General features: G+C 37.2%; 1 protein-coding gene across 6 annotated transcripts in view, besides 1 other annotated feature; it reads left to right on the forward strand.

Annotated features, from left to right (window-relative positions):
- The window catches only part of NBPF6 (NBPF member 6), a 50430-nt gene that overhangs the window by 979 nt on the left and 23303 nt on the right, over window positions 1-26148 (forward strand). The window contains exons 2-6 of one of the 6 annotated variants that reach the window (XM_011542012.3): window positions 9121-10380; window positions 12206-12350; window positions 12630-12670; window positions 24223-24229; window positions 25199-25302. In XM_011542012.3, the coding sequence (XP_011540314.1) occupies window positions 25284-25302 (19 nt within the window). In that variant the 5' untranslated portion in view covers window positions 9121-10380; window positions 12206-12350; window positions 12630-12670; window positions 24223-24229; window positions 25199-25283. Of the gene's footprint in view, window positions 1-9120; window positions 12351-12629; window positions 12671-24222; window positions 25303-26148 lie in introns of all 6 variants that reach the window. The other 5 variants (XM_017002148.2, XM_047428683.1, XM_047428685.1 and 2 more) reach the window with 5 other exon arrangements.
- Window positions 9313-9865: an enhancer, noted in NCBI's record as "H3K27ac-H3K4me1 hESC enhancer chr1:108974404-108974956 (GRCh37/hg19 assembly coordinates)". NCBI's record gives its function as "activates a minimal SCP1, AML or CMV promoter by ChIP-STARR-seq in primed H9 embryonic stem cells {active_cell/tissue: H9 hESC(primed)}" and the evidence as "EXISTENCE:reporter gene assay evidence [ECO:0000049][PMID:30033119]".

Here is a 26148-nt window from a genome sequence, read left to right on the forward strand (position 1 = left end):
TTAAGAAAAAAAGGGAGAATCTAACTAAAAATTGACTTTGGTTACTCAAATTTATGTTAATTGTGCATTTATATTCATTTCAATTTTTAGAAAATTTAACAACTTAATCCCATCATTAATCATTTATTAAGTACCCTATCCCAACCTGAGAAAATTAAATTTCTCTAATTTCACAGCAAATTCAAACATGGCATTTAACAAGAGGGAAAAAATGGTATCAAATATTCTTCTGAATTTTAACACTTTACAGTGAGAGCAGATTTTAACTACATTTTAATAACCTTGAGAAGTATGTTACAACCCCAAATATTAAAGTAACTCAAAATCTTTAATTTATAAAATGGCAGAAATATCTGTGTCCTGAAAAACTGGAAAAATGGACTGATCTAATGTATTACTAGTTGTTTGGTATATTATAAATTATATAATTATAGTTACATTTATTAAATCACAATTTTAGAACCCATCTAATCTTTATAATGTAGCTATACATAGACATCTTAAAATATCTTTGGCCTAGTCTCTTTCAACATAAATTGAAAAGATAGAGGCAAAAAAAGTAGGGATGGATGAGAATACTATTCATCCTTCATGTAAGTTTAAGACTGTAAAGGGAAGTTCCAGTCAGCCTTTGTTCTAGTAGATCGGAGCTTGAAAGTAAAGTATAAAGTACATAGAGAAAAAAAGAAAAACTCAGTCTTTTTTAACACAGATTTAAGTATAAGAGCTCACACATTTTTCTGAATTACTTTGGTCACGTTGGTGATTTCGTGTAATGTTTAAATATTAAAAAAAAAAGCAAGCGTAGCTAAAAATGTCTGTATCTCTAAATAAGAGTGCTCAGAAAAGGAATAAGAGGTCACCATTATTCCATTGACAACACTGGTAGGAGACTGAGGTATTCTGATGCCATGAAATTCTGTTTAGGACTTTCTATTTTGTTTTGTCTATTTTAGAGAAAGAAAAGGAGCCCAAACTTGACTGTTTTGCTATGAATTATAGTTTTAAATGCGTGAGTTTTCTATTAGTGCTTTCAAACATTTTAAATGTTCGCATATGGCAAGGAGAGGTGAAAAAATAAAAATAAATTTAAAATGCACATAAAGCACTAAAATGTTAGCTTTTTAAAATACAAAGTAGAGAATTCAGGAAAACTTCAAAATATTCCAACTGTTTAATATGAAATACTAGGTTAATTATATACTTAGGTTATATTCTGTATTATAAATTGCATTCTAATCCACTTAAATGCAAATTTCTATGACTGTTCATTAAAATTTGGAGAAATATAAATAGATTTTATGAATGTTGAAGATTTTAATTCACCAATAAATTAATAAACTGTTTCTTGTTTACTTAAAATTCAATATTTAATTTGTAAGTTTACCTCTTGGGAAAATGGATATAGCATCTTTTCATACAGACCTTTTGCAAATTAAGGAAAAAGCCAAGACATTTTCATGTTTATAAACAAGTGTCCAGATAATGACGGTTCAAGATTTCATTTCTGCTTTTTATTTTTGAGACGGAGTTTCACTCTGGTTGCCCAGGCTGGAGTGCAGTGGCACAATCTCGGCTCACCGCAACCTCTGCCTCCTGGGTTCAAGCGATTCTCCTGCCTCAGCCTCCTGAGTAGCTGAGATTACAGGCGTGTGCCACCATGCCTGGCTAATTTTGTATTTTTAGTAGAGATGGGGTTTCTCCATGTTGGTCAGGCTGGTCTTGAACTCCCGACCTCAGGTAATCCGCCCACCTCAGCCTTCCAAAGTGCCGAGATTACAGGCGTGAGCCACCATGCCCGGCCTCAAGATTTCGTTTGTAAAATATTCCCCAAGAGCGGTTTTGCTGATTCATAAACCACACAGTTTACAACACACTGAAGTAAGAAACTTTATGAAATATGGAGTCATGCCTCTGGAAAATCCTGTCACTCCACTCCTTTTATAAATTTAAGAAAATAAGCTGATCATATTTAGCTGTGGGACTCATATCATGGCTAGAGAATTCAAGGAAAGGGAAAAGTCCAATTAATTTGATATTTTAGCTTTCTTTTAAATAGTAAGCTAAAACTTGCTAAAACAGATAATAAAATAAAATTAATTAAATTACTTCACAAGGATCCCCAAGGGAAAATCTCTGGTTAATTACACTTTATAGTCGGAGGCTCTCATGGAACTATGTGATGATCATCACTATTTAATTTTCATTCCTTTTAGGAACAAAGTCAGTCCACTAATGGTGAAATCTACTTATAATTATTGTGGAGTTACAATTTTAAAAATTCTCTAGGCATACACAGATACCTTCATTCAACCTCTCATGTCTTAAGAACATCTCAAATTCAGAAACAAAAAAAAATATGTTTCTCATTCCATGTTTCACTTTTCAGGGAATGGCTGCACCATTCATATAGCTTCTGAAACTGAAAACCTGGAATGTATCCATGACATTTCCCTCTCCTTCATCTTACACATCTAAACCATCACCTACCAGTTTCACTCTCCAAGTTTCTCTCAAATCCATCCACTTATCTTCATGTCCACTGCCACACCTTCTGTCTCCAAACTACCATCATCTCTTGCCTAGACTGTTGTGATTACCCTCCTCTTTCCATTTTTTTCTCTATCCTTTAACCAGAGTAAACTTCCAACAATGCAAATCTGATACTTTCCTTCTTCAGTAATTTCCCATTATGCTTAAAGACAGTATCATCTGACCTCTGTTTCCTCCTCCCAACTCACCTGTACCACTCTTGCTTTCTGTACTCCAGCCATACAAGCTACTTTTCAGTTTCTCAAAGTGTCCCATTCTTCTTCCTTCTTCAGGCTCATTACACATGCTTTCCCCTTTGCATGAAAGTCATTCCCTGTTCTTTGCTCATTTAACTCCACCTCAGTCTTCAGCTCTCAGTTCAGTATTTTTCTCTGTTCATATATTTTTTAAGAAACTCTTTCCAGAACTTCCTCATTTCCCCTATTAATGGCCCTCAGAGAACCCTATTTTTCCTCTGTAGCTATAATCGCAGTTTATAACTATATATTTGTATAAATGTTTAATTAATTTCTGTCTTCCCTACTAGACTATCAATTCTATAACAGCAGGGTCTCTGTTTGCTCACCCGAACCCCATGTGTTTGGCACATTGCACAGTACCTGGCTACCTTAAATTCTCAAATTACAATAGCTAGTATTTTTCTTTCTAATCTTTATATTTTGCTAGCATTTTTCTCTCTAATCTTTATATTATATTCCCAAAATTGATGTAGCTAAATAGAGTGAAATCAATAGGCAATTGAAAAGTAAGTCTTTCACTGTTTTAGTCTAAACATTCTGTTCCCCCCTCCCACCCACCCCTACAAGAAATTAAATAACTCCTTTAAAATGTAGAGAAGATCCCTTGAAAATTTAGAAAATATTTACTTGCCACGGAATTTCTTGGAAAATGTTCTATTGCTATATGCGTCTTTTTGCTTTTTAATCAGAAACTAGTAACATCCCCTCCAGTTTTTATAGTTTTGTAATTAAATTGGAAACTTTCTTACTTTTTTCTAATGTTGAACTTACTTTGCCCATTGATTTTCTCCCAACTTATTATGAAAACTGTAAACTCTAAAAAGGATGGCACAATGAACATTTATATATTCACCACCTATAAAATTTAACATTTTGCCATAATTACATTTTGTCTCTCTCCATTCTACTTAAACATATATATAAATGTGTGTGTGTCTATCTGAGCCATTTGAAAGTAAGTTACAGATATGATGACACTTAACCATAAAGTACTTGGACATATCCTAAAAACAAGGAGATTAGCTTACATAACCACAATGCCATAATTATATTTTAGAAATTTAAAAATAATTCTCTATTACTTGAGATGCTAAGGCAGGAGGATCACTTGAGCTCCGGAGTTTGAAGCCAGCCTGGGCAACATAGCAAAGCCCTGTCTCTTTAAAAATAAATAAATAAATAAATAAACAAACAAACAAATAACCTCTATACCATCAATACTTATTCTATATTCAAATTTTCCCAATTGTCCCCAAAATGCCATTTACAGATTTTTTCAAACTAATATCCAAATAAATTTACCCATTGCCCTTACTATGTTTATTCTCTTAATCAAGACTAGTAACAGTCCACCACCAACACTGTTTTTTCCACAACAATGACTTTTTGAAGAACCCAGCTCAACTGTCTTGTAGAATATTCCACAATCATGATTTGTTTGATTGTTTCTTAATGGTATTGTTTAACTTGTTCCTCCATCACCTGTATTTTCTACAGTTCTAAAGACATGGTCAGATTCTAGTAAAAAAATCTGGGCAAAAATACTTCATAGGAGAGGCTATGAAATTTGCTGTCTCCTCAGTTTAATAACATCTTTGTTTTCTTTCTAAAATATTTACCATCTGTCCTGTAACTTGGACCCTATTCACCTAAGCTGAAATTTGTTAAATATCTAAGAAAAAAAAACAGGGTGAATGAAGTTCTTATGTCAATGTACTTTTCTTCTCTCTCTTTGTTTTTCTTGCATTGTTTGCTCTCCCATTGTTTGTTCTCCCATAACTTGAAGCAGTGACTTTCTTCCTTATTACTAGCAATAAGGAAGGACATCTTATAATAATAAAAGGGTCAATCCTAAATTTATGTGCACATAATAATATAGCTTCAAAATACATAATGCTAAAGTGGCAAACGTAGAGGAGTAATAGGGAAATCCACAATCATGGTTAGAGATTTAAACATACCTTTTTCAGTAGCCAGTAAGACAAGCAGACAAAAAAATTAATAGGAATCTAAAACATTTGAATAACACATTTAACTAATTGATCTTATAGAACACATATATAGAACACAAAATACAACTTCAAAATCCATTTATTTGAAAGAACAGAAATCATACAAAGCACATTCTGATGGCAGTGCAATTAAAACAGGAGTTCACCGTCAGGAAGGTAATTGGAAAAATCCCCAAATGTTTGTAAATTCAGCAATATATTTCTACATAACTGATGGGTGAAGAAGAAATCACAATGGAAACTGGACATTTTGAAATAAACAATAATGAAAACATTACATATCAAAATTTATTGAGTGTAGGGAAAGCAGAACTTAGAGGGAAATTAAAACTTTAAATTAATATACTAGAAAAGAAAAAAAAAGTCAATTATTTAAGACAGGGATTGGCAACCTTTTTCTGTTACTGTCCAGATAATAAATATTTTAGGCTCCGCAGGCCATGTGATCTCTCGCAGTTACTCAACTCTGCCCTTGTAGCCATAGACAATACAAAAACAAATGGAAGTGGCTGTGTTACAATTAAATTCAATTTACAGAAATAGGTGGCAGGTCAGATTTGGCCCTCAGGCCAAAGTTTGCCAACCCATGACCTAAACTTCAAACCCAGGAAACTAAACAGGAAAATAAACAGAAAGAAAGGAGGATGAAATAGTAAAGATAGGAGTAGAAACTAATGAAACAGGCCAGGTATGGTGGCTCACACATGTAGTCCCAGCAATTTGGGAGGCTGGGCAGGCAGATCACTTGAGGTCAGGAGTTCAAGACCAGTCTGGTCAACAAGGTAAAAAATCAGCCAGGCATGGTAGTGCATGCCTGTAGTCACAGCTACTTGGGAGGCTGAGGTACATGAATCCCCCATATCATTTCTGATTGTGTTTATTTGAATTTTCTCTCTTTTCATCTTTATTAGTCTTGCTAGTGGTCTATTTTATTGCCTTTTTTTTTTTTTTTCCAAAAAACCAGCTCCTAGATTTGTTGATTTTTTGAAGGGTTTTTCATGTTTCTATCTCCTTCAGTTTCACTTTGAGCTTCATTATTTCTTTTCTTTTTTTTTTAAATTATTATTATACTTTAAGTTTGAGGGTACATGTGCACAATGTGCAGGTTAGTTACATATGTATACATGTGCCATGCTGGTGTGCTGCACCCATTAACTCGTCATTTAGCATTAGGTATATCTGCTAAAACTATCCCTCCCCCCTTCCCCCACCCCACAACAGTCCCCAGAGTGTGATGTTCCCCTTCCTGTGTCCATGTGTTCTAATTGTTCAATTCCCACCTATGAGTGAGAATATGCAATGTTTGGTTTTTTGTTCTTGTGATAGTTTACTGAGAATGATGATTTCCAATTTCATCCATGTCCCTACAAAGGACATGAACTCATCCTTTTTTATGGCTGCATAGTATTCCATGGTGTATATCTGCCACATTTTCTTAATCCAGTCTATCATTGTTGGACATTTGGGTTGGTTCCAAGTCTTTGCTATTGTGAATAGTGCCGCAGTAAACATATGTGTGCAAGCGTCTTTATAGCAGCATGATTTATAGTCCTTTGGGTATATACCCAGTAATGGCATGGCTGGGTCAAATGGTATTTCTAGTTCTAGATCCCTGAGGAATCGCCACACTGACTTCCACAAGGGTTGAACTAGTTTACAGTCCCACCAACAGTGTAAAAGTGTTCCTATTTCTCCACATCCTCTCCAACACCTGTTGTTTCCTGACTTTTTAATGATTGCCATTCTAACTGGTGTGAGATGGTATCTCATTGTGGTTTTGATTGAACTTCTCTGATGGCCAGTGATGGTGAGCATTTTTTCATGTGTTTTTTGGCTGCATAAATGTCTTCTTTTGAGAAGTGTCTGTTCATGTCCTTCGCCCACTTTTTGACAGTGTTGTTTGTTTTTTTCTTGTAAATTTGTTTGAGTTCATTGTGGATTCTGGATATTAGCCCTTTGTCAGATGAGTAGGTTGCAAAAATTTTCTCCCATTTTGGAGGTTGCCTGTTCACTCTGACAGTAGTTTCTTTTGCTGTGCAGAAGCTCTTTAGTTTAATTAGATCCGAGCTTCATTATTTCTTGTCTTCTGCTAGCTCTGCGGTTTGTTTGCTCTTGGTTCTCTAGTTCTTTTAGTTGTACTGTTAGGCTGTCAATTTGAGATCTTTCTAGCTTTTTGATGTGGGCATTTAGTGCTATAAATGTCTCTCTTAACACTGCTTTTGCTGCACCCCAGAGATTCTGGTACGTTGTCTCTTTGTTCCCATTGGTTTCAAAGAACTTCCTGATTTCTGGCTTAATTTCATTATATACCCAGGAGTCATTCAGGAGCATGTTGTTCAATTTCCATGTAGTCGTGTGGTTTTGAGTGGGCTTCTTAATCTTGAGTTCTAATTTGATTGCACTGTGGTCTTAGAGACTGTTTGTTATTATTTCAGTTCTTTTTGCATTTGATGAGGAGTGTTTTACTTCCAATTATGTGATCAATTTTCGATTAAGTGCCATGTGACACCAAAAAAAATGTATATTCTGTTGTTTTGGGTGGAGAGTTCTGTAGATATCTATCAGGTCCACTTGGTCTAGAGCTGAGTTCAAGTCTTGAATATATTTGTAAATGTTCTGTCTCAATGATCTGTGTAATATTGACAGTGGGGTATTAAAGTTTCCCACTATTATTGTGTGGGGGTCTAAGTCTCTTTGTAGGTCTTTAAGAACTTGTTTTATGAATCTGGGTGCTCCTGTATTGGGTGCATGTATATTTAGGATAGTTAGCTCTTCCTGTTGAATAGATCCATTTACCATTATGTAATGCCCTTCTTTGTCTTTTTTGACCTTTGTTGGTTTAAAGTTTTTTCTGTCAGAAACTAGGATTGCAACCCCTGTTTTTTTTTTTCTGCTTTCCATTTGCTTGGTAAATTTTCCTCCATCCCTTAACTTTGAGTCTGTGTTCATCTTTGCACATGAGATATGTCTCTTGAATACAGCATACCGATGAGTCTTGTCTTTGTATCCAACTTGCCATTCTGTGTCTTTTAATTGGGGGCATTTAGCTCATTTACACTTAAGGTTAATATTGTTATGTGTGAATTTGAACCTGTCATCATGATACTGGCTGGTTAATTTTGCAGACTTGTTAATGTAGTTGTTTCATAATGTCACTGATCTGTGTACTTCAGTGTGTTTTTGTGTGTGATTTTGCTATCCATGTTTAGTACTTCCTTCAGGAGCTCTTGCAAGGCAGGCCTGGTGGTGATGAAATCCCTCAGCATTTTCTTGTCTGAAAAAGATTTTATTTCTCCTTTGCTTATGAAGATTTGTTTGGTCTGATATGAAATTCTGGGTTGGCATTTCTTTTCTTTAAGAATCTTGAATATTGGACCCCAATCTTGTCTGGCTGGTAGAGTTTCTGCTGAGAGGTCCGCTGTTAGTCTGATGGGCTTCCCTTTGTACGTGACCTGGCCTTTCTTTCTGGCTGCCGTTAACATTTTTTCCTTCATTTCAACCTTGGAGAACCTGATGATTATGTGCCTTGGGGTAGATCTTTTTGTGGAGTATCTTACTGGGGTTCTCTGGATTTCCCTGATTTGAATATTGGCTTGTCTTGTTAGGTTGGGGAAGTTCTCCTGGATGATATACTGAAGTGCGTTTTCCAACTCGGTTCCATTCTCCCCAACTCTTTCAGGTACTCCAATCAGTCATAGGTTCCATCTTTTTACATACTCCCATAGTTCTCATAGGTTTTGTTTGTTCCTTTTCGTTCTTTTTTCTCTAATTTTGTCTGCCTGCCTTATTTCAGCAAGATAGTCTTCAAGGTCTGATATCTTCTCTTCCACTTGGTTGTTTTGGCTACAGATGCTTGTGTTTGCATCATAAAGTTCTTGTGCTGTGTTTTTCAGCTTCATCAGGTCATTTATGTTCCTTTCTAAACTGGTTATTTTAGCTAATACCTCCTGTAATCTTTTATCATGGTTCTTAGCTTCTTGCGTTGGGTTAGAACATAATCCTTTGGCTCAGTGAAATTCATTATTACCCACTTTCAGAAACCTGCTTCTGTCAGTTCATCAGTCTCAGCTTCAGCCCTGTTCTGTGCCCTTACTGGAGAAGTGTTGAGATCGTTTGGAACAAAAGAGGCATTCTGGCTTTTGAAATTTTCAGTGTTTTCGCATTGGTTTTTCCTCATCTTCATGGTTTTGTCTACCTGTGATCTTTGAAGCTGTTGACCTTTGGATGTGGTTTTTGTGGGGTCTTTTGTGTTGATGTTGTTGTTGTTGTTACTTTCTGTTGGTTTTTCTTCTAACAGTCAGGCCTCTCTTCTGCAGGTCTGCTGCGGCTTGCTGGGGGTCCACTCCAGACCCTGTTCGCCTGGGTATCACCAGTGGAGTTTGCAGAACAGCAAAGATTGCTGCTTGCTCCTTCCTCCAGAAGCTTCTTCCCACAGTGGCATCAACCTGATTGATGTCAGCCGGAACTCTCCTGCATGAGGTGTCTGGCGACCCCTGATGGGAAGTCTCACCCAGTCAAGAAGCACGGGACTGGAAGGGGGACCTCCTTACGGAGGCAGACTGACTGTCCCTTAGCAGAGCTGGTGCACTGTATTGGAGGAATAACCCTCCTTGGGATCAGCTGGTCTCTTCAGAGCCAGCAGGCAGGAAAGATTAAGTCTGCTGAACCTCGGACCATGGCCGCCGCTCCCCCGAGGTGCTCTGTCCCAGGGAGATTAGAGTTCTTGTCTGTAAGCCCCTGACTGTAGCTACTGGAATTCCTGCAGGGATGCCCTCCAGGTGAGGAGGGATGGCTTCGGGTCCCACCTAGGAAGCAGTCTGGCCACGATCTGCAACAGCCACTTTGCTGCGTTGTGGGGAATTCCACCCAGTCCAAACCTCCTAGTCTCCTTAGCACTGTCAGGGGAAAACCTCCAACTAAAGCCTCAGTAATGACGGTCGCCCCTCCCCCTGGGAACTGAGTTGTCCCAGGCGGACTCCAGACTGCTGTGCCGGCAGCGGGGATTTCAAGCCAGTGGTTCTTAGCTTGCGGGGTTTCCGTGGGAGTGGGACCCTCTGAGCGAGACCACTTGGCTCCCTGGCTACAGCCCCCTTTCCACAGAAGTGGACATTTCTCCTGCCTCACTGGAGTTCCAGGTGCTGCCGGAGTATGTAAAAATTCCTGCAGCTCAGTGCCTGCCCAAACAGCCGCCGACGGGAGCAGCTGTCATTGGTCTGCCCAGTTTTGTATTTGAGACCCAGGGCACTGGTGGTTGTAGGCTCCCGAGGGGATCTGCTGATCTGTGGATTGCAAAAATCTGTGGGAAAAGCTTAGTACCCTTGGTGGGTAGCACTGTCCCTCACCACTTCCCTTGGCTGGGGAGGGAGGTCCCCCTGCCCTGTGCAGTTCCTGGGTGAAGCAATACCCTGCTTCTTCTCGCTCTCTGTGGGTCATGCCGACCATCTAGTCAGTCCCAGTGAGATGAACTGGGTATCTCAGTTGGAAATGCAGAAATCACCCACATTCCTCGTTCCTCTCGCTGGCAGCTGCAGACCAGAGCTGCTTCTAGTCGGCAGTCTTGGCCCCTCCCCGCCGAGGTAAGTTTAATAAGTCTTCTAAATTTGTCCTTGCCATAATGATCAGTGATGATCTGTCTTTTAATAAGTTAAATGCTTTCCAGACTTCAAGACTCTCACCCACATCAAAAATAAAATTATATATCGGCCATATTACCAGGATTTTAGAATGTTGTATTTTATCCTCTAATTATAGGTCAAATAACTAAGGTAGAAAGGAGTAAAGCAACTTCCATGTATGTAGTGAGGATGTTGGGGGGTCTGGGACTAAAATTCTGCCTTGGGATTCCCAAGAGGTTGGTGATTATGATTTTTGTACTCTTAGACACAAAATAAAATAACATTCTGTTTTGTTCCTCTGCTTACCCTATTCAGTTCTCTAAACTACAAAATCTCTGCTTATCAAAATAAGTTGGATTGTCAATTTGTTGAGCTCAGCAAATGCATTTCCTGAGCCCTTGTGAGTAAAGCTCTGTGCTGGTTACACTGCGTAACTAGTGATACAGAGGATGAGTAGAGCATTCTTTCCTGAAAAGAGCTTAAGATTTCTGTGCCCAGGTCAGCTTGGGTTGCCTGTAAGTGAGAAAATTGACAGCCAACACCCACAGGCTTATTCTGATAAAATGGGAGATGATAATAAATGGTGGGGTTTTTTTCTTTTTCTATTTTCTTTTTTTTCGAGATGATGTCTTGCCACGTTCCCCAGGCTGGTCTTACCTCCTGGGCTCAGGCATTCTTCCCTCCTTGGCCTCCCACAGTGCTGGGATTACAGCGTGAGCCACACACCTGGCCTTGTGAATGGTGGTTCTGTCAAGACTGGGCTTTCAACCTCCCAAGGATTCTGGTCAAACAGCCTCAGGAGAATCTTCTGCAGAGAGTGTCTGCCTGCCAACTGTCAGAGCTGAGTGTCACAGAATCTTGGCATGGGTCTCCTCCCTCTGTTCCATTTCACAGATTACATGTTGTTAGTAGGAACATCACCAGAAGGAGCATGAGGATGTTCCTTCTAAGAACTAGGAAAGATATAATAATGCTGCTGGCTGGGCTATTTTAAAAAAGTAATCAAGGGCCTTCTCAGAAAGTGATTTTAGGAACTATAATGCATAGATGGGATCAATTATAGTGTAAGAACTGAAAAATTATTGCACTGAACAGCACCTAACAGCTTCTGGAGAAAACATATTTCCCAACTGACCCTGATGATGGACTTAAATACCAAAAAACAGAGAGAACCACTAACTTCCATTGTCTTGCAGAAACAGGAGAACCTTAATGCACTTAAAGCTGGAAAAATGTCTCTGCCTCTAAGGCCATGCAGTGAAACAGATTGCATGGTAGGTGACATAGGCAGGGGCAGAATGGAGTTTATGACAATGGCCATAAGATGATGAAAAAAATTATTTGGGGCCTTTGAAGCAGCAGATGAGCTGGCTCAGAGGAAAGTTGCACAACTGTAGAAAAACAACTTTTGCAAAATTTTCCTCCACTCAGTGGGCACTACATACTTATTCTAGGATTTGCATTCATTCTTTCACAGACTGTTTACTTATTGGCTTGGGCCTACAATGACTTTTCTGAGAGAGGTGAGGGATTAGCACAACAGCACACACACGCCTGAAAGAAATAGTGAATTTCTAATTTTCAGATTTTAGTCTCTGACCTAACCAAAGAATTGACCATTGTAGATTTTATCTATTAATAATATTAATGATGCTCACAAATATGAAGATTTAAGTACATCTTATGATAATAAGAGATGCTTTCAAAAAAAAAGAAATGGTAGAACTGTAGTCCAGGGATGTTAATAAAAGTGGCAAATAACATTACATCATCTTTTTTAAAAAAGAAGATGAGGTCTCACTGTGTTGTCCAGGCTCATCTCAAACTCCCAGACTCCAGTGATCCTCCTGCCTCAGCCTCCCAAAATGCTGGAATCACAAGCTTGAGCCATCACCTTCAGCCCATATCATCTTAACATCCAATAGGAACAGGTAAAAGAAGGAAGAAGGCTGACAACCCAGTGTACAGAATCATATGTAATAATGAAACTGTTGATTGGTTATAAATCAGCAGAATTAAATCTATGTTTATACTGGCCCTTGGGTTCTGTCGTAGAGGCAGAACATGGAGAAATAAAAAACTGGAGTAGAAGATAAATTCATTTGAGTAACTAGACTTTATAGATAAACATTTGAGAAACCACCTTTAAAGCTGTTTGTGAGCCATGTTTTACATAATGACAAATGAATGCTTTTGTTTTTTTGTGACAGTCAACTGACCCACTGGGAATGTGACCTTGTGAATCACCCAGGTGAGCAAGCTTAACATGATTGGATGTAAACCTAGGTCAATAACTAAAGAGATACTCAAATGTGCTACACGTGTCAATTGTGACATAACAAACTGAAGGCCATTCATTCTCCCTTGAGGGAATGAAGCTGATAGTGCAAGGGACTGCAGATACTACTGCAGAATCAGGGTCCTGATGCTCACATACTGAAGTGAGTGGACTCCTACTTCAGATGTGTAATAGGATCTACTGTCTCCTAAGGCTGAGTATCCCACAAAGAAATCCCCTCAGCCCAACATTATTAGTTATTTTAAAGCTTTTGGTCTCATTTTATAATAGATCACATCAGAAATAAGACTAGTCAGGATCAGGTACAAACTCATGATAACTTGATAGATATATCATTGAAGACCATCCCAAAGTCTCTGATACTACATAATGCTGGGATACATTATTGAATACTAAATTTTAAAATAAGGGATAACATTGCAGATAAACAGACACGCACATGGGAAGCCTCATCAACTGCATGAGCACTCTTAAGGAAAACCTATTGATGAACATACAGAACATTTCACATGCATTGGTCCACAAGGTACACACTCTGCCCAGCCTGAAAACTGAATATAGGTTGGGACGTTCCTCTTCCTTGGGCTGATGATAAAGCTCCAAGTAAAATGAAAAAGATTCTTTTCACCTGGTAAATACGCAGGACCCCCCCCCGAAAGATATTGTCACTGCCAAATGTAACTTCAGTCTGAAAAGCATTTGTTTCTAGCAGGATACAACGTCAATATACAAAAATCAATTCTATTTTATGTAATTCCAATGCACAATTGAAATGTAAAAAGCAATACCACTTACAATAGTGTCAAATGTATAAAATGCATAGGGATAAATCTGACTGCAAATTATAAAATGTTTCACAGAGAACATAATGAATACCTAAAAACTAGAGAGAAATTCTTTGTTCATGGGTCAAGAGACTTAATATTGTTGAGGTGTTACTTTTCCCCAATCTGATCTATAAATTCAATGCAATTCCACTCAAAATCTCAGCGAGCATCTTTGGTAGAAAGTGATCAGCTGATTCCAAAATTAATATGAACTAGCATAATCAAAATGCTACTAAAATGAAGAACAAACTTGGAGGACTAGCTCTACCTGATTTAAAGAACTATTATAAAGTTATAGTAATCAAAACAGAATGGTGTTGGGATATGATCTCACACCTGTAATCCTAGCACTTTGGGAGGCCGAGGTGGGTGGATTGCCTGAACTCAGGAGTTCGAGACCAGCCTGGGCAACATGGTGAAACCTCGTCTCTACTAAAAGCACAAAAACTTAGCCGGGCATGGTGATGCACTCCTGTAATTCCAACTACTTGGGAGGCTGAGGCACAAGAATCACTTGAACCCAGGAAGTGATCACACCACTTCACTCCAGCCTGAGTGACAGAATGAGGCTCTGTCTCAAAAAAAAAAAAAAAAAAAAAGAAAAGAAAAGAAAAAAAGATTGATAAAATAGGAACAAAATACACAGTCCAAAAATAAACCAATGCATATATGGATAAAAAGATATTTGACAAACATGAAAAAGAAAAATATTTAAAAATGTATATACTTTCAACAAATGGTAGAGGATTTTCTTTTAACAAATGGGTATGACATCTATATGTGTATAAAAATAAGTAAAAAATCAGATTCGTGTGTCACTCCATATATAAAAATTAGTGTGTACCAGAGGCTGGGAATGAGAGTGGGGAGAGGGTAGAAGTTGGTTAATGGGTACAAAAATACAGTTAGGTTGAAGTAGTAAGTTCTAGTATTCAATAGGGTAGCAGGGAGACTACTGTTAACAATAATTTGTTGTATATTTTTAAAAATAGCTATAATAATTGGAGTGTGTGTAACACAAAGAAAAGATAAAAGTTTGAGGTGATAGATATCCTAATTACCCTGATTTGGTCATTACACATTATACACATTTATCAAATTATCACACATACCCCCAAAAGATGTACAACTACTATACATCAATTAAAATATGAATGAAAAGTAGATCATGAACACATTTATGATGATTGAAATCACATCAAGTATTTTTTCTGAGCACAATAGTAAGAAACTAAAAATCTACAGAAGGAAAACTGGAAAATTTCACATATACATGGAAATTAAATAACATGCTTTTGAACAGCTGATGGGTCAAAGAACAAATCAAAAGGGAAATTTAAAATATCTTGAGACAAACAAGAATGAAAACAAACATAATGGAACCTCCGGAAACAGCAAAAGCAGCTCTAAGAGGCAAGTTTGTAATGATAAATGCCTATATTGGCTGGGCACAGTGGCTCATGCATGTAATCCCAGCACTTTGGGAGGCCAAGGTAGGCACATCACTTGAGGTCAGGAGTTCAAGACCACCCTCACCAACATGGTGAAACCCCATCTCTACCAAAATGTACAAAAATTAGCCCAGCATGGTGGCACGCACGTGTAATCCCAGCTACTCAGGGAGGCTGAGGCAGGAGAATTGCTTGAACCAAGGAGGTAGAAGTTGCAGTGAGCCAAGATTGTGCCACTGCACTCCAGCCTGTGCAATGGAGTGAGACCCTGGGAAGGAAGGAAAGGAAGGAAGGAAGGAAGGGAGGGAGGGAGGGAGGGAGAGAGGGAGGGAGGGGAGGGGAGGAGAGGGAGGGCAGGGGAGGGGAGGGGAGGGGAGGGAGAGAAAGAGAAAGGGAGAAAAAAGAAAGAAAGAAAGAGAAAAAGGAAGGAAGGAAGGAAGAGACCCACATTAAGAAAGAAGGTCTCTAATAAGTAACCTAACATTATACCTCAAATAACTAGGAAAAGAATGAAATAAAGTTATCAAAAGGAAGGAAATAATAAAAATCAAAGCAGGAGCAACTCAACCAAAGAATAGAAAAACTAGAAAAATTGACAAAACTGAGTTAATTTTTTGAAAAAATAAACAAAATTGACAAACTTTTAACTAGACTAAGAAAAAAAGAGAAGAGTGAAATAAATAGCATCAGAAATGAAGTGGAGGTATTTCAGCAGATGTGTCAGAAATAAAAAGTATCATAAGGAACTATTATGAGCAACTATATAGCAACAAATTGGATAACCTAGAGAAAATAGATAAATTCCTAGACACATACAACCTACCCAGATTCAATCAAAAAATAATAGAAAGCCTGAACAGACCAATAACAAATAAAAAGATTGAAGCAGTAACTATAAACCTCCCAAAAAAAACAAAAGCCAGGACCAGGACTCAGGACCAAATGGCTTCACAGTTGAACTCTACTAAAAATTAAAAAAAGAATTAATGCATTTCTTCTTAAGCTCTTCTCAAAGATAGAAGTAGAGAGAATACTTCCAAAATCATTTTATGAGGCCAGCATTACTCTGATACCAAAGCCAAAGACACCAGAAGAAAATAAAACTACAGGCTAATATCTCTGATGAACATAGATGCAAAATTCCTCAGTAAAATACTACCAACCCAAATTCAACAACACATCAAAAAGGATATATGTCTTAACCAAGTGGAGTTTATCCCTGGGCTGTAAGTTTGGTGTAGTATATGCAAATCAATGTGATACAGAATGAAAGATGAAAACCACATGATCACCTCAGTAGCTCCAGAGAAAGCAGATGACAAACCTCAACATCCTTTCATGAGAAAAACTCTCAACAAATAAGGCATAGATGAAAATTTCTTCAACATCATAAAGGCCACTTATGAGAAGCCCACAGTTAACATGATACTCAATCAAGAAAAACTGAAAGCTTTTCCTGTAAGATCCAGTCCAAGTCAAGGATTCCCACTCTCACCACTTCCATTCAACATGGTACTGGAAGTACTAGCAAAAGCAACCAGGAAAGAAAAAGAAATTAAAAGATTCAAATTGGAAAGGAAGAAATGAAATTATCACTGTTTGCAGATAATATGATCCTATATGTAGAAACCTCTAAAGACTCTGCAAGAAAACCCTGTTAGAACTAATAAATGAATTCAGTAAAGTTGTAGGATATAAAATCAACTAATAAAAATCAGTTGCATTTCTGTACACCAATAATGACCTATTCAATAAAAAATTTTAAATCCTATTTATGATAATATTAAAAAGAATAAAATCAGCAATAAGTTTAACCAAGGAGGCAAAGATCTATACACTGAAAATTATAAAATGTTGTTAAAAGAAATTGAAGGTACAAATAAATGGAAAGGAATCCCATGTTTATGGTATGGAAGAATAAATATTGTTAAAATGTTCATACTGCCCTAAAGTGATCTACAAATTCAAGGCAATCCCTATCAAAATTCCAATAGCATTTTTCACAGAAATAGAAAAAAAACTCTAAATTTGTATGGATCTGCCAAAAAACCAGAATAGACACAGCAGTCCTGAGGAAGAAAAGCAGAGTTGAAGGGATCATACTAGCTAGTTTCAAATTATATTACAAAGTTATAGTAATCAAAACTGTATGGGACTGGCATTAAAATAGACACATAGACCAGGAACAGAATAGATAGCCCAGAAATAAACCCAAGTACATACAGTCAACTACTTTTTGACCATGCCCCCAATAACATACAATGAGGAAAGGATAGTCTCTTCAATAAATGGTGTTGGGAAAACTGGATATCCACATGCAAAAGAATGAAATTGGACTCATATACAAAATACACAAAAATCAACTCAAAATGGATTAAATACTTATGTGTAAGACAAAATCATAAAACTCCAAGAAGAAAACAAAGGGGAAAGGCTCCTTGACATTGGTCTTGGCAATGACTTTTGTGGGGTGGGGGTTGGGGGTGCAGGGGGATAGGACACCAAAAGCAATAACAAACAAATGGGACCAGCTGGGCATGGTGGCTCACACCTGTAATCCCAGCACTTTGGAAGGCCGAGGCGGGTGGATCACCTGAGGTCAGGAGGATGAGACCAGCCTGGCCAATATGACGAAGGCCCATCTCTACTGAAAATACAAAAAAATTAGCCAGGCATGGTGGTGGGAGCCTGTAATCCTAGCTATTCGGGAGGCTGAAGCAGGAGAATCGCTTGAACCCGGAAAGTGGAGGTAGCAGTGAGCCAAGATTGCACCACTGCACTCCAGCCTGGGCAACAAGAGCAAAACTCCGCCAAAAAAAAAAAAAAAAAAAGGACCACATCAAACCAAATAGCTTCTGCACAGCAAAGGCAACAATCAACAACATGAAAAGGCAGCCTATGGATTTGGAGAAAATATTTGCAAGCCATATATCTGTTAAGGAGTTTCTATCCAAAATATAAGGAACTCATAGAACTCAATCACCAAATAAATAAAAAATAGACAAAGGACCTGAATAGATATTTCTCCAAAGAGAGCAAACAGATGGCCAGCACATATATGAAAAGTTGCTCAATATCACTAATCATCAGGGAAATGCCAGTCAAAATCACAGTGAGATATCACCTCACACTTGTTAGGTTGGCAATTGTATAAAAGACAAAGAGAAGTGTTGGCAAGGGTGTGTAGAAAAGGAAACACTTGTACACTGGTGGAAATGTAAACTGGTACATTCCTTATGGAGAAGAGCATGGAGTTTTCTCAAAAAGTTAAAAATATGACCCAGCAATCCCTCTTCTGAGTATATATCCAAAAGAAATGAGATCAGCACCTACTAGAGATACCTGCACTCTCATGTCCATTGCAGCATTACTTACAATAGCCAAGATATGGAAACAACTTAAATGTCCATCACAAATGGTGTTTTTACTTACATGTAAGAATGTGCAGTATTTGGTTTTCTGTTTCTGCATTAATTCGCCTAGGAGCATGGTATGTTTTTCTATATGTTTGTCTTGTCTCTGATTTCCTTCCACAGTGTTTTGGAATCCTTGTTGTAGAGATCTTTCACTTCCCTGGTTAGCTGTATTCCTAGGCATTTTATTCTCTTTGTGGCTATTGTGAATGGGGTTGCATCCCTGATTTGGCTCTCAGCTTGGATGTTACTGATGTATACAAATGCTACTACTTTTGTACATTGATTTTATATCCTGAAACTTTACTGAAGTTGCTTAGCAGTTCTAGCCTTTGGGGAAAGACATTCAGTCAGCTACATTTGACCATGCTCCCAATAACACACAATGAAGAAAGGATAGTCTTGGGCAAAAAAAATGGAGTGTTCTAGATATAGAATTAAATCATCAGCAAAGAGACATAGTTTGACTTCCTCTGTTTGTATTTCAATGCCTTTTATTTCTTTCATTTGCCTGATTGCTCTGGCTAGGACTTCCAGTACCATGTTGCATAGGAATGGTAAGAGTGGGCATTCTTGTAGAAGTTAGAAAGAGCTCAAATGAACAATCTATGAATCAACAACTCTGTGCTGAAATAAAAAAAGAAAAAAATTAACAACCTAACATTAGACCAAGGGGAACTAGAAAAAGAAGAGCAAACCAACCCCAAAGCTAGCAGAAGAAAAGAAAACCAAAATCAGAGCTGAACTGAATAAAATTGAGATGTGAAAATGCATACAACAGCTCAACAAATCCAGAAAAAAAAAAAAACTGGAAGAAATGGGTGAATTCCTGGAAACGTACATTCTCCCAAGATTGAACCAGAAAAAAGCTGAAATCCTGGAACAGACCATAAGGAGTTCTAAATTGAATTGGTAATAAAAAACCAACCAACCAGAAAAAGGCCCAGAACAGGTGGATTCATTGCTGAATTCTTATATAATAAAGAGCTGGTAACAATTCTACTGAAATTATTCCAAACAACTGAGGAGGAAGGACTCTACCCTAACTCCTATCAGGAGGCCAGCCTCATTCTGATACCAAAACCTGGCAGAGACACACAACATTAAAAAAAAACTTCAAGCCAATATGCCTGATGAACATAGAGACACAAAACTCCTCAACAAAATACTAGCAAATCCAACCCAGCAGCACACCAAAAGCCAATGCACCATGAAGAAGTAGGCTTCATTCCTGGGATGCAAGGTTGGTTCAACATATGTTATGTGATTCATCACGTAAATTGAACTAAAACTGAAAACAACATGATTATCTCAATAGATGCAGAAAAGGCTTTTGATAAAATTCAACATCCCTTCATGTTAAAACTCCCAACAAACTAGACACCAAAGGAACATACCTCAAAATAATAAGTGCTATCTATGACAAACCCACAGCCAACATCATACGGAATGGGCAAAAGCTGGAAGCATTTCCCCTAAGAACTGGTAAAAGAACAAAACAATAAATTACGCTTCAATAATACTTTTAAAAAATTGCTCTTCAAAGACATTGGTAAGAGAATGAAAAGACAAGCCACACTTAGGTAGAAAATATTTGGAAATTATGTATCCGATAGAGGACCTCTGTCTGCAACACTAAGGGAACTCTCAAAATTTATTAATAAACAGGCAATCAAATTTTCAAATGAATAAAAGATTTGTAGAGATATTCCACAAGGAAGATATATGGAAGGCACATAACAATATGACAAGATATTCAATATCATTAGTCACTAGGAAAATGCAAATTTAAACCACTGTATACCAAGTAAAATGACTGAAGTTAAAAGAATCACCGTTCCACATATTGGCAAAGATATATGGAAACAAAAACACTCATACACTGTTGATGGGAATGTGAAATTTTACAAGCATGTTATAAAACAGTTTGGCAGCTTCTTAAAATAGTAAACCTGTACGTATCATATGATACTGCTATTTCACTCAAATGAAAGGAAAGGATATGTCCATACAAATTCGTTGATAAAAGCTTTAGTTTTAAAACCAGAGCCATCCAAATCTATGAACAGGTGAATAAATAAAATAAACTGTGATATAACCATCACATGGAATATTAGCAATATAGCAGAGTGATCTATTAATACACATGACAACAAAGCTACATCTCAAAATAATTATTCTGAATTAAAAAATGAAACCAAAATAATGTACATAGTATATAATTCTATTTATAGAAAACTTGAGAAAATTTAAATTAATCTATTATGACAGAAAGCCAACCAGTGGTTGTCTGAGGTGTGGGGAGAAAGGTGAGGGAGGAATTACTACGTAAACAAGGACACTTTGGAAGTGGTAGATATATCCACTATCTTTTTTGTTTGTTTGTTTTTTGACACAGGGTCTGGTTCTATCACCCAGACTGGAGTGCAGTGGCACACTCTTGGCTCACTGCAACCTCTGTCTCCTGGGCTCAAGCCATCCTCCCAACTCAGCCTCCCAAGTAGCTGGGACTACAAGCACATGCCGCCACGCCTGGCTAATTTTTGTATATTTTTTAGACACAGGGTTTCACTACGTTTCCCAGGCTGGTCTTGAACTCTGAGCTCAAGCAATCCACCTGCCTTGGCCTCCCAAAGTGCTGGGATTACAGGCATGAGCCACCATGCCCGGCCTGTATTTACTAATCCTGATTGCAGATGTGTACTATGCTCAAACTTTTTAAATTATACACTTTAATTATGTGCAGTTTTTTGCATGTAAGTTATATATCAATATAATTGCTAAAAGTTTAAAACATTATTTTAAAACTGCCATAGCTTGATTTAATACATCTTTTTATATTTTAAAAAACTGATAAAATTCTGTATATTATCAGGACAAAAGAGAAAAAGCATATGATTACCCTGACATACACAGAAAAAGCGTTTGGCAAATTGAAAACTTTTTTCATCATTAACAAAAACAAACTCTCAACTTGATAAGAACAGAAGGCAACACTTCCAACCCTGCAAGGGCAGATTTGAAAAACCCACAGGTAACATTAATAAGATTGAATGCTTTCTATTAAATAGCGAAAAAGGTAGAATATCTGCTGTTACTCTTTCAATCCAGCATTAAACTAGAGATGTTATCCGATGCAATAAAGTAAGAACATAAATAAACAGAAACATTGAAAAGATTGAAAAGAAAGAATTGAAGCTGTCTAGAATTGAAGCTGTCTTTATTCACGGATCATGATTATGTATGTAAACAATTCCAGAAATCTACAAAAATATACCAAAACTATTAAGCGAGTTTGGCAATGTTGCAGAATATAAGTTCAATATAAATAGTCTGTTGTATTTCTGTATATTAGCAATGAGTGTTTGGAAAATAAAATAAAAATACAATTTCATTTAAAGTAACATCTAAATACGTGATGTGCTTAGAAATAAATTCAAGAAAATTTATGTAAGGCCAGTACACTGAAAACTACAAAACATTGCTTTGAGAAATTAGATATATATATAAACAAACTAAATTGGTGGGGAGATAAACCTTGTCACGGATCAGAAGAGCTGTTATAGTTAAAAAGTCAGTTCTTCCCAAATTGATCTCCAGATGCAATGCAATTCTAACAAAAAATTCCAACAGGCAATTTGGTAGAAATTTACAAGCTGATTTATATGAAAATGTCAGTGATCAAGAATAATAAGAGAGCAATATTATAAAAGAACAATGGTGAATGAATTCACTACCTATTTCCAGATTTACTATACAGCTATGGAAATCAAGACCATGTGTATTGTTGAAAAAAATAGAACATATATCAATGGAAGAGAAAAGAGAACTCAGAAATAGACCCTTACATATATGTCTAATAAATTATTCTTAGACGTGAATATAGTTATATGTATATATACATAATCACCTGTTTGATGATTTCTATCTTTATCTCCAAAACAGGGAACATTAAGAGAACATAAAAAGAAGCCACAATATAGGAGAAATTATATTTATCTCCAACAAAAGATTTTTTAATGGTATATATATAATGCAGTCTGATAAGATAAACAGCACAATGAAACAATTTCTCAAAAGACTTGAATAGATACTTCAGAAAAGAAGATATATGAAGGGTCAATTTGCAAATGAAATGATGCTCAACTCTTTAGTCATCAGGGAGATCAATCAATACAATGCTGAGATACCATTACATGTCCATGAGAATGGCTAAAATTAAAAAGACTGAAAATACCACATGTTGGTGAGGATATAAAGTACTTGGAAGTCCTATACTTGTGGAAATGAAAAATGGTACAACTCCTTTGAAAATCTGGCTAACAGTTTCTTATAAGACTAAACATGTACAGATCAAATGGACAGTCCTTGCACTCCTAGGAATTTACACTCTATGTCCACACAATGATCTGTATGTGGATGCTCATGATACTTTATGCATTATAGCCCAAACCTAGAATGACACAAATGTCCAATAACAAGTGAATGTATAAACAAACATGGTGTAGCCACACAAAGGAATACTACTCAGCAATTACAAGGCATTAACTGTTGACGAAAATGCTCACATGGATGGATTTTCAAATTAATATGATGCATGAAAGAAGGCAGATGCAAAAGAACACAGGTATAATTTCATTTATAGAAAATGGTGAAAAAGGCACTGCCAGAAAGTGACAGTGGCTCCTTGAACCTGAGGGTTGAAATACTGATTAACTGCAAAGGGTTACAAGAAATTTTGGGCTTATGGAAATTCCTATATCTTGATTATGGCAGTAGTTCCATTAGTGTATACATTTGTGAACATGCATTGGATTACATAGTTTAAAGTGGTGCAGTCTATTGTACTTAATAAATACCTTTATAAAGTTTATTTAATCATCTTAATTTCTCCATACTAGCAATTAGCTGCTAGAAAATGAAATTCAATAAAACATAATAGAGATTAATATCCAAAATCATTACATATTTAAGAATACATATAATGAAGCAGGTACAAAGCCCCTGAAAGCTATTGGTGAGAGAAATTAAAGAAGACTAAATAGAGAAATATATATTACATTCATGGATTGGAAGATTCAATTTTGTTAAGATATTACATCAACATAATTCTGACTAATGTTTCCAGTAGGAATTTTTAGAGAAATGTAAAAGCTAATTTCAAAATGTATTTGAAAATCAAAAAAGCTAGAACAGGCAAGTTGGTCTTGAAGAAGCAGTAAGTTGTAGGAGTTATTCTGCTGGATTTCAAAACTCATTTAGAGCTACAATAATTTAAAAACTATAGTACTAGTGTAAGTATATAGAAGTATATCAAGATAAAAAGAATACAGACTCAAACATTATGCTCACATATATACAGTTATTTAAAGCTTTTAAAAACAAACACGCCAGTGCCTCTCATTGGGGAAATGAAAGACTTTTCAATAAAAAGTTCTTGAGTGAAAGAAGTTTAAGACCAGCCTGAGCAACACAGCAAGACCTTGTCTCTACAAAAAATTTAAAAAAAAAAATAGCCAGAAATGGTGATGTGTGCCTAGAGTTCGAACTACTTGGAAAGCTGAGGCAGGAGGATCACTTGTGCCCAGGATTTGGGTATGCAGTGAGCACTCCAGCCTAGATGACAGAACGAGAACCTGTCTCAAAAAAAAAAAAAAAAAAAAGCATCTCACACTCATAGTAAGTGGCCAGAACATAATGCTGACTGCATGTTGTGAGGAAATGTATTAAATGAAACAAATTGAATTCAAGAAGGTTTTTTGTTTGTTTGTTTGTTTTGTTTTTTAATGTGTGTTTGTTTGTTTGTTTTGCAGAAATGAGGTACAGGGGAGAGAAACACCTACTTGGAAAGCACCGAAACAACTGAATTGGAAAATGTGGAAAGGGGATTGGGGGAGGGGACTCTTTCTGAGATCTGGCTCCAGTACTAACAGCAAAGGGAACTTGGGCAAATTACAGACTCTCTGTGCCTTGGTTTTGTCATCAGCAAAACAGAATCATCCCATAAACTGTAAGGTCCGTGGTATCAGAGGGTCCCCAGTCTGACTGCACATCTAAGTCGTTAACAAACACATTCCAGGCCCCAACTGAGCGCACTGAATCAGAATCCCTGCAAGGAGGACAATGATCTTGTATTTGCACTGACCTTCCAGATGTTTCTTACTCTGATCAACTTGGGGGTAGGAACCATTGAGCTGCATCACATCATTCCAAAGCCCAAACACAGAAGCAGAACAAGAATATATTCAATGCATTCTCTAAAGTGGAGAAAACTGTTGAGGGAACCTAGAAGTGAAGGAAACCTGGCTTGCTGGGCTCCATCTTAACTTTATCCTGAGTACGGCAGAGACAGGAGCACTTTGGGACACATGCCTGAGGTAGTGACAGTCCAACATTGAAACAGTGGAAGCCCTAGTTTCAAATTCAAACTTGCTTTGAGTAGAAATTAAGTTTACATCTTTTTGCATAGCAACAGGGCCAGTTTTCTCCAAGCTGCTCAATTTACAAGAAAAGAAATCATACGGCTAAGAATTCAAACTTCAGCAGACATGGGTAAACAAGGAACTCTTACAAATCTATTCTAGCAACCTAACAAGAAACCAGAAATTTAGCAAGTTCTTTCCCGCTCAGGACAATTGTGTTCACTAGATCAGAGGCACTGAGACATGAAGAAAAGACCCGCTAAAAAGGGAAAGCCTTCCTTCCTGCCCTAGGACATCCCTGCCAACTTCAGGGAGGTGGGAACCCAGCTGCGCTCTCTACAGTATGGGTTACTTTTGTGTCTGGAAGGTGTCTGACATCCTGAGACCTGGACCCATTTCAAGGAGCTTTGGGAAGAGCCCAGATCACTGATGGAATTGGACAGTGCGTGGAAATGGTTCAGCAGGACGAGGGTAAGTGCAGGATCACGGCCAGGTCATTCTGAGAGACAATGAGTGGCACTGATGGGGTCAGACAAAGATTAAAAACAAAAGTTTGTGCTTCGACTTCAGAAACTCAAATCAATAACTAATTTGCTCTTATAAGTAATAAGCATTTTTCTATCTACATGAGAATTTAATCTCAAAACAGAAATCAGAAAAAATATCAAGTCCAGGGCATAAAACCTAAACCAGTGCTTAGATTATTCATTTTAAATAGAGCTAAGAGTAAAATCTTCTCCATAAAATATATATTGTATCTATACATAAAATATATGTTGTATCTGAGTTCAGCGTGTGATGAGTGTGACCATAGACTACCCAGCATTCATGTGGAAGTGAAGGAAGAGGACTGGATCAATCCCAGCGGAAAGCATGCCTCTCAGCAGCCCACACCATCCTCCACCTACACTGTGTAATGACAGTGCTTTGAGATGTAGCAAAGGCTGTAAATTTATCTATTCTCTGGTGTCTCAGAGACCTGACATTCTGTGTCAGAAAGAAAAGTTATAAAAAGGCAAAAGTCTTAATGAGAATCATTGGTACTCAATAGAATAGTGAATTAAATACAGCCAGGGGAAGACCCAAGTCTCATATTTCTCTTGTATATTCCAAAGTTCCAGTGAAATTCCAGGTAATAGAGGTTATTTCCCACACTGTTAAAGCAAGGTTGCAGACACTTCTGAATTTCGGTCCCAATGCTGAAGGAGGGCACACCTCTGTCCTGGAAAATGACACAGGAATGAATGCTATTCCCATGACTCATTCTGGTCATTCTTCCAGCATCACAGAAACCAAAAAATAGAAATATAGCCAAAT

The sequence above is a fragment of the Homo sapiens genome, chromosome 1 (genome assembly GCF_000001405.40).
Source record: "Homo sapiens chromosome 1, GRCh38.p14 Primary Assembly".
Classification (NCBI taxonomy): Eukaryota; Metazoa; Chordata; class Mammalia; order Primates; family Hominidae; genus Homo; species Homo sapiens.